Source organism: Homo sapiens, chromosome 9 (assembly GCF_000001405.40).
Source record: "Homo sapiens chromosome 9, GRCh38.p14 Primary Assembly".
NCBI classification, from domain to species: Eukaryota; Metazoa; Chordata; class Mammalia; order Primates; family Hominidae; genus Homo; species Homo sapiens.
Genome location: NC_000009.12, coordinates 123,145,023 through 123,158,860, shown reverse-complemented (window position 1 = coordinate 123,158,860; position 13,838 = coordinate 123,145,023). Strand labels below are relative to the sequence as shown.

The 13,838-nt window shown below is 36.6% G+C and overlaps 1 protein-coding gene across 11 annotated transcripts in view; it reads left to right on the top strand.

Annotated features, from left to right (window-relative positions):
- STRBP (spermatid perinuclear RNA binding protein) overlaps window positions 1–13,838 on the top strand; it is a 159,093-nt gene that overhangs the window by 109,726 nt on the left and 35,529 nt on the right. For all 11 annotated transcript variants that reach the window (XR_007061327.1, XR_007061326.1, XR_001746347.2 and 8 more), the window contains 4 exons: window positions 432–529; window positions 738–849; window positions 10,991–11,083; window positions 11,807–12,006. Coding sequence is in view for 7 of the 11 variants with exons in the window: in NM_001376109.1 (NP_001363038.1) it covers window positions 432–529; window positions 738–849; window positions 10,991–11,083; window positions 11,807–12,006 (503 nt within the window). In the remaining 4 variants the exon portion in view is untranslated. The remainder of the gene's footprint in view (window positions 1–431; window positions 530–737; window positions 850–10,990; window positions 11,084–11,806; window positions 12,007–13,838) is intronic.

The following is a 13,838-nucleotide window of genomic DNA, read 5'->3' as shown; positions in this document are numbered from 1 at the left end:
GCTTTGAATTTGCTTTACCTCGAACTCTGAATTTGAAATTGCAGATGTTTAGTTAAAATGTATGAAGTTCATTCTGTTTGTAGTCTGGTTTTAAATTTGGAAAAATTAAATTTGGTCTTATTTTCCATATGTAATCCCTTTTAAGATTTGGGCTGATTCATTGTGCTGTTTCTAAATTCTCAGAGTAAGACTCAGTTTGGGCCTTAGATATACAAGTGACTTCCAGTATAAAATAAGGACATACAAGTGCTAACATGTTGAAAATGAGAGTGTGTCCTTTTTACTCCACTTAACTGAGCAGACTTTTAACTTAGTTCCTCAGTTTTTTTTTTCATTTTCTCTTCATTCTCCCCAGCCATCTCTCTTTTGTTTTAGTTTACCGAATTCTAAACTCAGTTCTAAATGATACTTGTGTTTTTCCTTTGCCAAAGGGGGTCCTGGTCTTCATGATCCTTGTGAGCGAGACCCAACAGATGCTCTGAGCTATATGACCATCCAGCAAAAAGAAGATATTACCCACAGTGCACAGGTAGAAGATTGAGCATGCCACTCTGACTTATTAGTGAAATAACATAACTTAATTTTCTCAATTGTGTTCAAACACTTTTTTCTTGTGTGTTGTTAGGGACTTCTGCTGTTATAATGTCAGAATTTATGAGTGTCTTTTTAGCTAGATGTTCTAAGGGCTTTATGAATGGCTATTGAAATGTGATTAAATATAATACTTTGTTCTTTAGCATGCACTCAGACTATCAGCCTTTGGCCAGATTTACAAAGTGCTGGAGATGGACCCCCTTCCATCTAGTAAGCCTTTTCAGAAGTATTCCTGGTCAGTTACTGATAAAGAAGGTGAGCATGGAAGTTTTTTATTAGGGTTGGGGGTTGGCACTGGTAGAGATAATCATGGGATTCATCTCTCATTACAACTTAGGGAACTTAATAATTGTGCATCCAAATCATATATAAAAAGCTTTCTTCCTGACTGATATAGGTTGGCTGTGTCCCCATCCAAATCTCATGTTGAATTGTAGTTCCCGTAATCCCTAGGTGTTGTGGGACAGACCGGTGGAAGGTAATTGAATCATGGAGGCAGTTACCTCCATGCTGTTGTTGTGATAGTGAGTTCTCACAGGATCTGATGGTTTTATAAGAGGCTTTTCCCCAACTTCACTCTGCACGTCTGCCACCATGTGAAGAAGGATGTGTTTGCTTCCCCTTCTGCCATGATTGTAAGTTTCCTGAGGCCTCCCCAGTTATATGGCACTGTGAGTCCATTAAACCTCTTTCCTTCATAAATTACCCAGTCACTGGTATGTCTTTATTAGTAGCATGAGAATGAACTAATACAATAAATAGAATGGACCAATACACTGACTTTCTTCTCTTCTGTTCTTATTAGGTAACGTCAGCTAATGTAACATAATCATGTTTTCTTATTAGTGACTAACTCATTTGGCTATGTTGGCCAGATGCCATTACTGCATAGACTATACTTTCAGAACCCCTGGTCTAAGGAGAAGAAATCAGCGATAAGCTAGGAGGAGACGTTATCACTATCACTAATCAGTTTGATTATCTTTCTCAAGCTTGGAAATGTTATCTAACTGAGAAAGAAAGAAAAATACAGAGGAGAAGAAAAGCATATTGGAAAATTCAGGACCATCTTCCATTTGTATTAGTCTGTTGAATTCAGAGTTTCAGCAGAAAAAATGTAGGTTTTGGGCTCAGTATGACCTGGGTTCCAATCATAGCTCCACCACTTCCTAGTTTTAGGCCTTGAGCAGTTAGCTCATCTCTCTCACTAGGGATATTACCCTCTTTCTTATTTTTTTGACTCTTGTCCGGTTAAAATGCCTGACTTGTTGCCTAGAATACAGTGGATACTCAAATGTGAATCCACTTACTGCCTTCCTTAGGCCTCAAAAATATTTTTTTTTCCCTCCCTTTCTCTTCTTTTAAACTAGAAAGTGGAATATTTAATACCGGATATTCTTCACCTGGAATGCAGCCTACCTCTAACAATGGAAATTACTCTACTTTTAGATATCACAAAAATAGTGCAGTTGCCCAGTCTGTTTATTTAGATGACAGAATTCCAGTGGGTCTGAAGACTTTCAGAGAGTCTACAACATCAAAGCTGTTGAATAGTAATAATAATATTAAGGGGTTTTTTTTTTTTTTTGGCCTTTTTCTCTCTTTCTTTCCTAAGTGTATAGTTTTCCAGAGGCTACATGTGACATGTGATGAGATCGTTGCTCTGATGGCTAATGGAATGTTTTATTTTCTATATCCTTGTGTTTAAAATTGTTTTGTTTTATTTTTAATATGCTCAATATTGACAGATATTACCCACAAAGCATAGCACTTCGGGTGCTTAATAATTTTTTAAGAGTGTAAAGTACTCCTGAGCTAAAAAGTTTGAGAATCAGTGCCTCACACTGTAAACTCCTCAGGAGAAAGAATCCTCCAGATTCTACCCTATGATTATTATAAACCAATGCTTAATATTACTTGAGGAATGAAGGCCATTTTCTTCCTGCAGGTGCTTGCTTAGTGGTGAAGAAATTATTGAAAGGGATTTACATACCCATGTGACATCAAGCATTGTCTGTGCATTGAATGATTGAATAAAAATGTTATATATATATTTAGATTCTTATGATTAGTATCAGAAAATTTTATTTCAATCACCAAATTCACAACCACTCTTTCGGTTTTATATTTTCCCCTTCACTAGATAGTAAAAGTATGTTTACTATTATGTGACTTAGTTTTTTTTTTTTTTAACTTTAAAGATCTTTCTCAAAAGTTTGGGAACTGCTGGTTTGTCAGTTGATAGCATAAAATAGAACCAGACTGCCAGTGTTCCTGTTCTAGTTCTGTCAAAGTTATATGGCCTGGGCAAGTCACTTTACCATTTTGTGCTTTGGCTATACAATGATCTCTCCAATACTTTCATGCTTTTAGCACCTAGCTTCCTGACATTCACGTTTAAACTTTATTCGTGTTATTCTCGGTGATTTCCTTATGCATCTCAGGTGATTTTTTTCAACACTAATGTCTCAGTTCTGTGACTTCTTCTCTCACAAATATTTTATCCTCTGCCTTTCCTTGGTTACTTATTCTGTGGGCATAGCCTAGTTCTTGTCTTCATCAATAACTGTACCTGTATTATTTCCATAATCATGTTTTCAAGAATCCCACTTTCCAATCTCTTGTCATTACTGTGTCTCCTACCCTTATTTCAGCTCTTGAATCTTGTCATTTTTTCCAGTACCATTGCATAGTCCTTCATCCTCCTCGTGTTCTCCCTTCTGTCCTTACCGTGCTTGTATTACATGATCCTTGATTACCACTCTCTAGCACGTACCTTTACTTCCTTGATTCTCTGTTTCTGGCAAAATTCTAACTGGTTGAAATCCATCTCTCTACCTTCTCTGTGTCTGTACTGGGTTGCTCAACATGGTTGGAGAACAGCCGTCTTGACTGTTTTCCCTTTAAGTCGGTGACACTAATTTAATAGGGCTGTTTGTGTTGCTGGGCAATCCTGTAAGTTTGAGACTTCTCCAGTTTCCTAGATAACTGTTTCACATTTTCTCACATTTCACACCTCCTTCTCTACCTCCTTATTCATCTGATGAGCTTATTTGCTTCCATTTTCTCAGATAAATATTAAGAGATAACTTGTATATGTTCTCATCACTGTCTCCAAGCCCCACTGCATCAACTCGTGTCTTTGCTTTTCCCTCCCTTGCCTCTGCAGAAAATGCCTCGCCTCTTAAGACCGACCTTTCTACTTACCCACTATCACATCCCCTCTTGCCTACCAATGGACATTATTCCAGCAATTATCTGTTCTCTCACCAGCGTCAGTTCCTCCCTGTCTACTGAATGCTTCTCATCAGCGTAAAAACCTGCTGCAGTATCTCCCATCTGAAAGACAAGGCCAAAACAAACTCTCCCTTGATTCTGTAGGTCCTGCAACAGAGTTGCATTTCTCTCCTCTTTATAAGCAGCACTTTGGGAAAGAGCAGCCCTTTTCTCTTTTCTCCATTTCCTCACTTTGAATTCTCATTGAACCTATTCTAATCAGGTTTTCTTCCTCACCACTTGCCTGAAGTATCCCTTGCGACCTTCACGTTACTACATTCACTGGTTAGTTTTCAGTCCTCATCTTAGCCATTTTCAGCAACATTTGATACAGAGGAACACTTTTCTCTCCCATATTTATTTTATAATGAGATATAGCACATATATAGAAAAGTACAAAAAATACAGTTTAAAAAATAATTATTTCTTTCAAACCCATAAAACCAGTGCCATGGGTAAGAAACAGAATTCTATCAGTGCCCCAGAAGCCATCCGTTTTATCCTTCTCATTACCTTCCTGTACCAAGAAATACCATTTCTGACTTTCTGAAAATCATTTCCTAGATTTTCTTTCCCACTTTCCCACTTGTGTATGCTTTCCTAAATAATTTGAGTTTGCCTGGAACTTTCCAGAAATGGGTCCTAAGTTTAATCTTTCGTGACTGGCTTCTTTCTGTTCAGCATTCTTTGGGATTGATTTATGTTGCTGCACATAGATATAGTTCATTTTAATAGGTATATAGTATCCACTATGAATATGCTAGTTTACTCATTCTACTTTTGAAGGACGTTTAGGTTCTTTAGTTTTGACAACCACTTACCGTGTTGCCATGAGCATTCTTCTGCATACCTCCTGAGGTATACACATAAACAACCTAGTAAATGGTTGCACATACCAATTTACACTCCCACCAGCAGTATATGAAAATTCCTGTTGCCCTGTATCCTCAAAAACATTTGGTATTGCCATGTTTTCTGAAATGAAATACCACTTTTCATTTGACTTCCAGGTCATCAGCTTCCTTTGTTCTTCTAGCTCTGTTGCCATCTCCTCAGCTGTCTTTGTTCTTTCTCATCTTCCTGACTTCTGAATGTTAAAGTGTCCTAGGGTTCAGTCCTCAGACCCTTTCTCTTTACACTGATGCTTTAGGGGACCTCATTTAGTCTCTTGTCTTCAAATACCTTTTTATACTGAAGATTGTCCCAAATTAATACTTCCATCCCAGACTACCAGCTCTTGAACTCAGACCAAAATATCAAAATGCCTCCTCAATATCGCTACATGGATGTCCAGCAGACATCTCAAACTTAAGATGTCTAAGATCTAAGCTCCTGCCCTCGCTCTCCCTTTGCTCTTCTCTTTCTATAGTTATCCCTGTCCCAGTCATTGGAAACTCTCCGTTTGCTCAGGCCAGGATTCTCTGAGTTGCCCTTGAATCCCCTCTTTCATTCACCCATATCCCAAACGTCAGCAAATCCTTTTTGCTTTTAAAGTGTGTCCAGGCCGGGTGGTAGCTCACACCTGTAATCCCAGCACTTTGGGAGGCTGAGGTGGGCAGATCACTTGAGACCAGGAGTTCAAGACCAGCCTGGCCAACATGGCGAAACCCCGTCTCTACTGAAAACATAAAAATTAGCTGGGCGTGGTGGCATGCTCCTGTAATCCCAGCTACTCGGGAGGCTGAGGCAAGAGAATCGCTTGAATCCGGGAGGCAGAGGTTGCAGTGAGCCCAGATCATGCCACTGCACTCCAGCCTTGGTGACAGAGCGAGACTCTGTCTCAGAAAAAAAAAAAAAAATGAGTCTAGAATTTAGCTTCTTCGCTGCTGACATCCTTATCTAAGCTGCCATCATCTCTCACCTGGATTATTGCAGTCACCTCCTGGTCTGGTCTTTTTGCTTCTGTTCTTGCCCCTCTATCTGTTCTCCACAAAGAAGCAATTCTCTTTATGGAGAACACCACCCCTCTTCAACTTTTTATCTTAAAATACTTGCAGATTCATAGTTGCAAAGATGATAAGGAGAGATCCCATTTACCCTTCAGCTAGTTTCTCTTGATGGCTGCATCTATGTAAATTTATAGTACAATATCAAAACCAGGAAATTGACAGTGATACAGTGCGTGTGTGTAAGTTTTATGCCATTTTATTACGTGTGTAGATTTCTGTAGCCACCTCCACAATCAACATACAGAACTGTTCCAACACCATTAAGATCTGCTTCATGCTGCCCCTTTATAGTCGTACCCGCCTCTCTCTGCTCAGCCATCCCTAATCCCGGGAAACCACTAAGATTTACCCATCTCCATAATTTTATAATTTCAGTGATTTTATATAAATGGAATTCTACAATAAGTGACCTTTTGCGATTTTTTTTTTTAACACTCAGCATAATGCCCTTAGGGTCCATCCAAGTTGTTGTGTGTGTCAATAGTTTGTACCTTCTTGTTCAGTAGTATTCCATGGTATGAATGAGCTAGAGTTTATTTAACTGTTTACCTATTGTAGGACATTTAGTTAGTTTCCAGTTTGGGCTTTTTACAGTTGAAGCTTCTATGAACAATCATATATATATACACGTGTGTATATTTATATATAAAATTTAGGTTTTTGTGGGCAAGTCACAAAAACACAGGTTTTTGTGTGTTAGATTTGTCACCAATTCTCCTGTGTTTCGGCTTCAATGTTATGCTGGCTTCATAAAGTAAGTTAGGACCTATTCCTTCTTTTTCTATTGTTTGGAAAAGTTTGCATAAATTTGATGTTAGTTTTTCTTTAACTGTTGGAAGAATTAATCAGTGAAGCCATTGGTGTGTGTTTTCTTTGTGGAAATGTTTTAAATTACGGATCTGATTCCCTTAATAAGCATAGGACTTCCATCTTCTTAGGACAGTTTTGGTAAGCTATGTTTTTCTAAGAATTTATCCATTTCAACTAAATTTAAAAATATTTTAGAATAAAGTAATTTATAAGATCCTCATTTTATTGTCTGTAGTATTTGTAGTAATGTCCTCTTTTATACATTTTGTACCTTATTTTATTTTGCTAATGACTCTCACCTAGGGGATTATTATTTTTATTAATCTTTATAGGAAAATTAACTTTTGGCTTTATTCATTGTCTTCTGTTGCATGTTTGTATTCTGTTTTATTGGTTTCTGCTCTTTTCTGTAGTTTTCCTTCCTTATGACTTTCTTTGGGTTCAATTTGCTGCTCTTTTTAAACTTTATGAGGTGGATGAATACATCATTGATTTTTCATCCTCTTATTTTATATACTATTAAGATGGTAAATTTCCCTTTAAGCACAGATTTATGTACATCACAGTCTTTGGACATTTGTATGTTTATAATCATTTAGTTAAAGCTATTTTTTACTTTCTTTTATTCCTAATTTTTTGACCCATGGGGTATTTAGATGTCATTGCTTAATTTGCAGACAAATGAAGATTTTGTAGTTAACTCTTTTGTTTTTGAGTTTTTACTTATTCTGCTGTCATCGAAGAACATGTGTTGTATGATTTCTGTCCTTTGATACTTCTTGAGACCTATTTTATGCCCCAGCACATGGTCGTTTTTTGCTCTGAAAATGTATATTCTGCAGTTGAGGGTCATAATATTTTTTTCGTGTTAGGTCATGTCAGGTCACTTGTTCATTGTGCTTTTCAGATGTTGTTTGTTATTAATTGCTGAGAGAGCTCTGACAGTTCCCATCTATTGTGGATTTGTCATTTCCCCTTGCAGGCCTGCCAGGTTTTAGTTTATATTTTTCATTTATAGATTTTTGGCTCTTTTATCGTTTCAGATTTTCTGCCTGAAATTATTTTTAAGAAAGTTTGTTTTTGAAAGGTCCATCATCTGGGTCCATTTTGGGTCTTTTTCTATTGTGTGTGATTTCTCTTGATTTTTGATCATGATATCTTCTCATGTGCCTGGTTATTATGAGTGCTGGATTTTTAAAATAAGAAATTGTAGATAATTTAAAGTGTAGAGTAATGATATCTTCCTCCAGGGAGGATTTATATTTGTTTCTGGGAGGTGACTAATGAAATTGGCAGTCTTAGATCATTTCAGTGTAGTCAGGGATTAAGATAATTTGAAGCTGGGCTTTCATCCTTGTGAGAGCCACAAGGATGAAGAAATATTTCCCGTTCATCTTACTTCTAGTGTATAACATTTCAGAGGCCCAACCCAGTGTGTGGGGGGTTCACCAGCCCTTCTCTGCTTGGACCTTGAACTTAGTTTTGGACTCCTTGAGACCTGGGAGCCTGTTGACATTACTCTCTTCAGTTCTTAGTGACCTCTTCTGGATTAGGAAGATGCCCCTAGGGTTAATGTAACCCCCAATGCAGAGAATTTCTTTCACCTTCCATATCTTTTTTTGTTTATTTTAATTAATTAATTTATTTATTTAAGAAAACACGGCTTGGCTATGTTGCCCAGGCTGGAGTCCAGTGGCTATTTGCAGGTGCAGTCATAGCCCACTTTAACCTCAAACTCCTGGACTCAATGAATCCTCCTGCCTCAGCCTTCTGAGTAGCTGGGACTACAGGCATGTGGCACCGTGCCAGGCTCACCTCCCAGATCTTGATTTTAAAATTCTTCATTGCCCAGGAACAGATACTTATTGTTTGTTTTGCCCAGTTTTTCTAATTGCTCTAGTTGGGAAGCCTTTTTTGACTTATTTACTCTCTCATACTGGAAGTGGGCCCTTGATATTTTGTCAATTAATGGCACCGGGGTTTGAGAACTACTGCCTGGCTCTTCTCACCTACTGCTAGCACCCTCTCCTTGTTTGTTTCACTCCAACCACTCAGGCCTTTGCATCATTTCTTAGCATGTTTCTGCCTTAAGACTTTTGTAGTTGCTGTTTATTTTTCTCTGCCTGGGACTCTTTCTCCAAATGGCTGAATAGTTCACTGTTTTACTTTCTCAGGTCTTCATCAAAAGGTCTCCTCATTAGTGATACCTTTCTGCTGAGCACGACATATAAATTGTCCTTCATTACACTCACTACCCATAGTATATGTTGTAATTAGTTTTGGCCAGTATATGTAAGCTCTTTGAGAAAAGGGAGATTATTTTGTTACTTGCTATGTGTCTAGCGCCTAAAATTGTCTTGCACATAGTAAATGTCAATTAATATTTCTTGTTTATTGTTGAATGAATATATGAATGAATTTATAATGGGGACAGTAAAGGTAATGGCTTCATGAGGGTGCTCATGAGGATTAAATAAGTTAATACCTGTAAGATGTTAACAGTGTCAGGCATATGGTAAATACGAAAATATTATTTTTAAAAATTGTTGCCTCAGAAATGATCACTTCTCATCACTAGATATTGTGAAGGTTGAATACCACCTGCTTTTTGTAAAGCAAGACCCTTTTTCTCCTTAGGTTGCTATTATGATTAGCCCCACATTTTACAGCCCCTTTCCAATGGCTGCTATGATAGAATGAAGCTTAATCCATAGAACTCTATGTAGCTGGAGGATTTAGAGAAGAGATCTCTGCATTTAAGCTAGCTTGTGATTTCCAGGCAATCAAGAAGCTGCTTTTAATGTAACTTAATGAGCAGAAGAGTGATTGAATAGACATAGTTCCTTTTTAACTTTTATCTCTTAAAGACTGCATTCTGGGAGACTGGCATACTCATAGTTGTATGTAATGCAAATGAAATATAATACTCAGCCAACGTTGCCTTCTGTTGAAGAGAACATCAAGATTGATTAACCTGAGTGGTAAATATTGACCCAAGCAAATGCTGAAGTCAGTGTTTACCTCAAGGGACAATAAATCTTGATCAGAAAATACATAGTTAATCTCATTATTATTATAGGCTTTCACTAGAAGAATCTGGAAATCTTGTGGCATGAGTATCTTGAGCATAATTTTCCTTAGGAAAAACAACTAACTTTTAAAGTGAAGACATAAAGAGATGAGATCTTTAAAGTACTTGAATAGGTTGATGAACTTTTCTCTAATAATTTTTAACTTGGACAGCAAAACTGCTGCCTTTTGCTTGACAACATTATAAATTGGTGGCTTCTTTATCCAAGAAACTGATTATTAATCAATTCAGTTAGTTTTTGCTCAGTGCCCATTATGTTGCTTCTAAGTCTTGTGTTAAGGTAGTTTGTAAGATACAAGACAAGGAAAAAATATCTTTGACCTTCAAAGAGCACTGAAGACACACAAGAATATATGAAATAGGCAATGATACAAGACTTTACATTTCTGATATAAAATCTCTGATATGAGAGAACATTTTTATAGAGGAGGTGAACTGTAAATAAAATTTTGAATAGGATTTGAAGAGGCAGAAGAATATTTTATAGTTGGATAATCAGATTTCTAAAAGTATAAGATGTAACGTGGACTTCTAAAGTTTATACAAGTCATAAATGTTAAATTATAGAGATGTTTGAAATGATATTAAGTAAAAATAAATCCTACCAGAGGTAGCTACTTTTTAACATTTTGATATATAGCCTTCTAGACTTTTTCTCTTCATGCATATAACGTGAATATATGCTGTCTGTGCGGCTGCTAAAACAAAATACCTTAGACTGGGTAACTTATAAGCAACAGAAATTTATTGCCCTCAGGGGCTTGAAAGTCCAAAATCAAGGCTTCAGCAGATTTGCTGTCTCGTGAGGGCTCATTGCTCATAGATGGTGCCTGCTATGTATCCCCACATGGCAGAAGGGACAAACAGTCTCTGTCAGGCATCTTTTATAATTGATAAGGGCTCCACCCTCATAACCTAATCACCTTCCAGGTTCCCCACCACCTAATCCCACTGCACTGGGGATTAAGTTTCAACATATGAATTTTGGGGGGACACATTCAGACCATATCATAGACATAGATATTGGTGTGTATATATGAATAAATGGGAAAAAATAAATATAAAAAGTGATAATATTGTTTCAAGATTTGCTGTAAAAAATTTTGCTTTTCTAGATTATAAATAATGGTAATTTAACTGATCAGTGAAAAAGTTGTATGGTCCTTGGTGTGATTCCTAAGATTTTCCTACCTGAACATGTTAGATACATATGGTACGGTAAGGGGATTGTTGTTTTGACTGATAATGAATCCCTCATAATTTTTTTTAGGTGCTGGGTCTTCAGCTCTAAAGAGGCCATTTGAAGATGGATTAGGGGATGATAAAGACCCCAACAAGAAGATGAAACGAAACTTAAGGAAAAGTGTGTAAAACCTTTATTCTTATAGATGCAAACTAGAGAGGACTTGTAGCTTCAGATAGAAAAATTAAAAGTGAAGGGTTTTTTTTTTTTTTTTTTTTTTGAGATCGGTTCTCATTCTGTCACTGAGACTGGAGTGCAGTGGCGCGATCTCGGCTCACTGCAGTCTCCACCTCCTGGGCTCAAGTGATCCTTCAACCTCAGCCTTCTCAAATAGTAGGGATCACAGGTGCGTGCCACCACGCCCTGCTAAGTTTTTGTATTTTTGGTAGAGACAGGATTTTGCCAAGTTGCCCAGGCTAGTCTTGAACTCCTGAGTTCAAGCAATTCACCCCCCTTGGCCTCTCCAAGTGCTGGGATTACAGATATGAGCGACTGTGCCTGGCCAAAAAGTGAAGAATTTGATTGATTTGAATTAGAGTTTTGAGACTAGATCTTAACTGAGCAATTGATAATTGGATAACTTTTTTGTTTCCAAGCTTTTTTGCTTAGGATGCATTTATATTGACAAGCGAAAATTAATGTGTAGTTAAATAATGCATACAATTTTTATAGTGATATTAGCATAATAATTTTAGAATTACTTATGAGGTTAATCTGTGTGTTTTGAAATCCTCATTTAAAAAAATTTTGGTGAATTTACAGTAGTTACTAGGAACCCCAAAAACGCATAAAGCAAAATTACTTTCTAGTTAATTTCTGACCTCATTCCTCTTTCTTTAACAGTTCTGGATAGTAAAGCAATAGACCTTATGAATGCACTAATGAGGCTAAATCAGATCAGGCCTGGGCTTCAGTATAAGCTCCTATCTCAGTCTGGCCCCGTTCATGCCCCAGTCTTCACAATGTCTGTAGATGTGGATGGCACAACATATGAAGCCTCAGGACCATCCAAGAAAACAGCAAAACTTCACGTAGCGGTGAAGGTACAGTATTTGTTTTACTTTGCAATGCTTTCTTATTTTATGTTCCAAATAATATGCTTATTTTCCTATAATAAATTATCATTTTTAAAAACATTTTAATAGCAATAATATTATATATAGACTTTTGTTACTTCTGGATAACAAAGTTGTTTTTGTTGTTGTAAAATAATATGTGGTAGTCTTACAAAATTTGGAAAATACGGAAAGAAGTAAAGAATTAAAATATGTCAATTGAACATTTTTGAAGCAAAGATCATTCGTATTTGTATCTAGTATGTTGGTTTATTTCCCATCATTTTCTATTTTGCTGTTTATTTTTTAAGTGAGCTCACAGTATATATGTAATTTTATCTTCTGATTTTTTTTCATGTAATGTTTCATTAGTGTTTTTCCTCATTATGAAAATCTTCATAAATAATTTTTAATGGCGGTACGATTAACATGCTACGGGAAACTATTTGTTTAAACATTCTCCTATCATTGGATATTTTGCTTATTCCAGATTGTTTCTATTATAAATTTGATCAGTATCTTTGTATATGGTGCTTTGTCTGTATTTTTAGAATATTTCCATCGGGAATAATATCCAGGATTGGACCAATTATGCATGTAGGTTTGTAGAAAATTTCCAAGTAATGGGATCTCTCTATAAGTATATTTGACCTCTTGCAGACTAGTGCAAAAATGTTAAAGATCATGTAGACTGAAGATCAGATTCACTTAAAAGTTCTTTCATATAACAGTATGGCATACGATATAATTGCTCTATTTTCATGGTCATTTCATTTTGTATGTATTATTAGTGTAGATGCAAACACCATCCTAGATACTGGGGATATAGCAGTTAATGAAACAAAGTTCCTGCTCTCATGGAGCTTACATTCTAGTGTGTATAGGATGGGAAGATAGACAACAAAGTGTGTAAACATCAGATAGTGATCAGAACAATGCATGCAGAAAAACAATAACTAAGCTGTAAAAATGTCAAACACTATATATTACTTATGCTCTGTCTTCATTGGAAAAGGGATATCTAAAGTATGATGAAAGAGTATGAATTTAAAATGAGGCAGAAAAAGAAAACCAACAATGAGGGGAAAAGTAAATCCAGGAATAAGACTAAACATATAGTTTAGTAACAACATACACTGAGAATGTGTCACAAGTTTAGAGCTAAGTTCTGTAGCAGCTGACACGAAAAGCTTGTGAAATATACAATTCACTCTCTCGTCTTAAGAACAGAGAGTTTGGTTATGAGAGTCACAGTTGTGGCATTTGATCGGGTGGGCATTTCTCCTTGGGTAGATCTTCACAAACCAAGGATATCAGTGATCTCTTTTAAATCTATGATGCAGTGATACATTTTGTGGGTTGTTTCGTACAGTAACCTTTAACATAAGCTAGTGGCCTCATAGCAAATTCCAATTCAGTAAAATTTGGGAGAGCTAGTAGAGTGGCACATTTTGCAATGTGACAAGATTTGGATGCTGCTTTCATTTGATGCAGTGATATATTTTTATGATATAATGGAACTTGGTTGGCCTGGATTTGCTTTTGTCTTCAATTCCCAATATTATGTTTTATTCACCTGAGCTTTTGGTAAACACGGAGGGGCTGTAAGCTTGGGATTAAGTTAAGCTCCCTGACAAATTTCGGAAATGTAGATATCAGTTATGATCTGAATGACACTGGATTTGAGGAAATTGTTAATGGTTTCTTGTGACTTGTGTGGCAGGTAGATGACCTTCTTACTTTTATTTACCTTGAGTAGCATTTTGGGTAGAATGTGCAGTAACTAGTAAATTTGAAATTTGTGAAGAGTTTAAGATTTG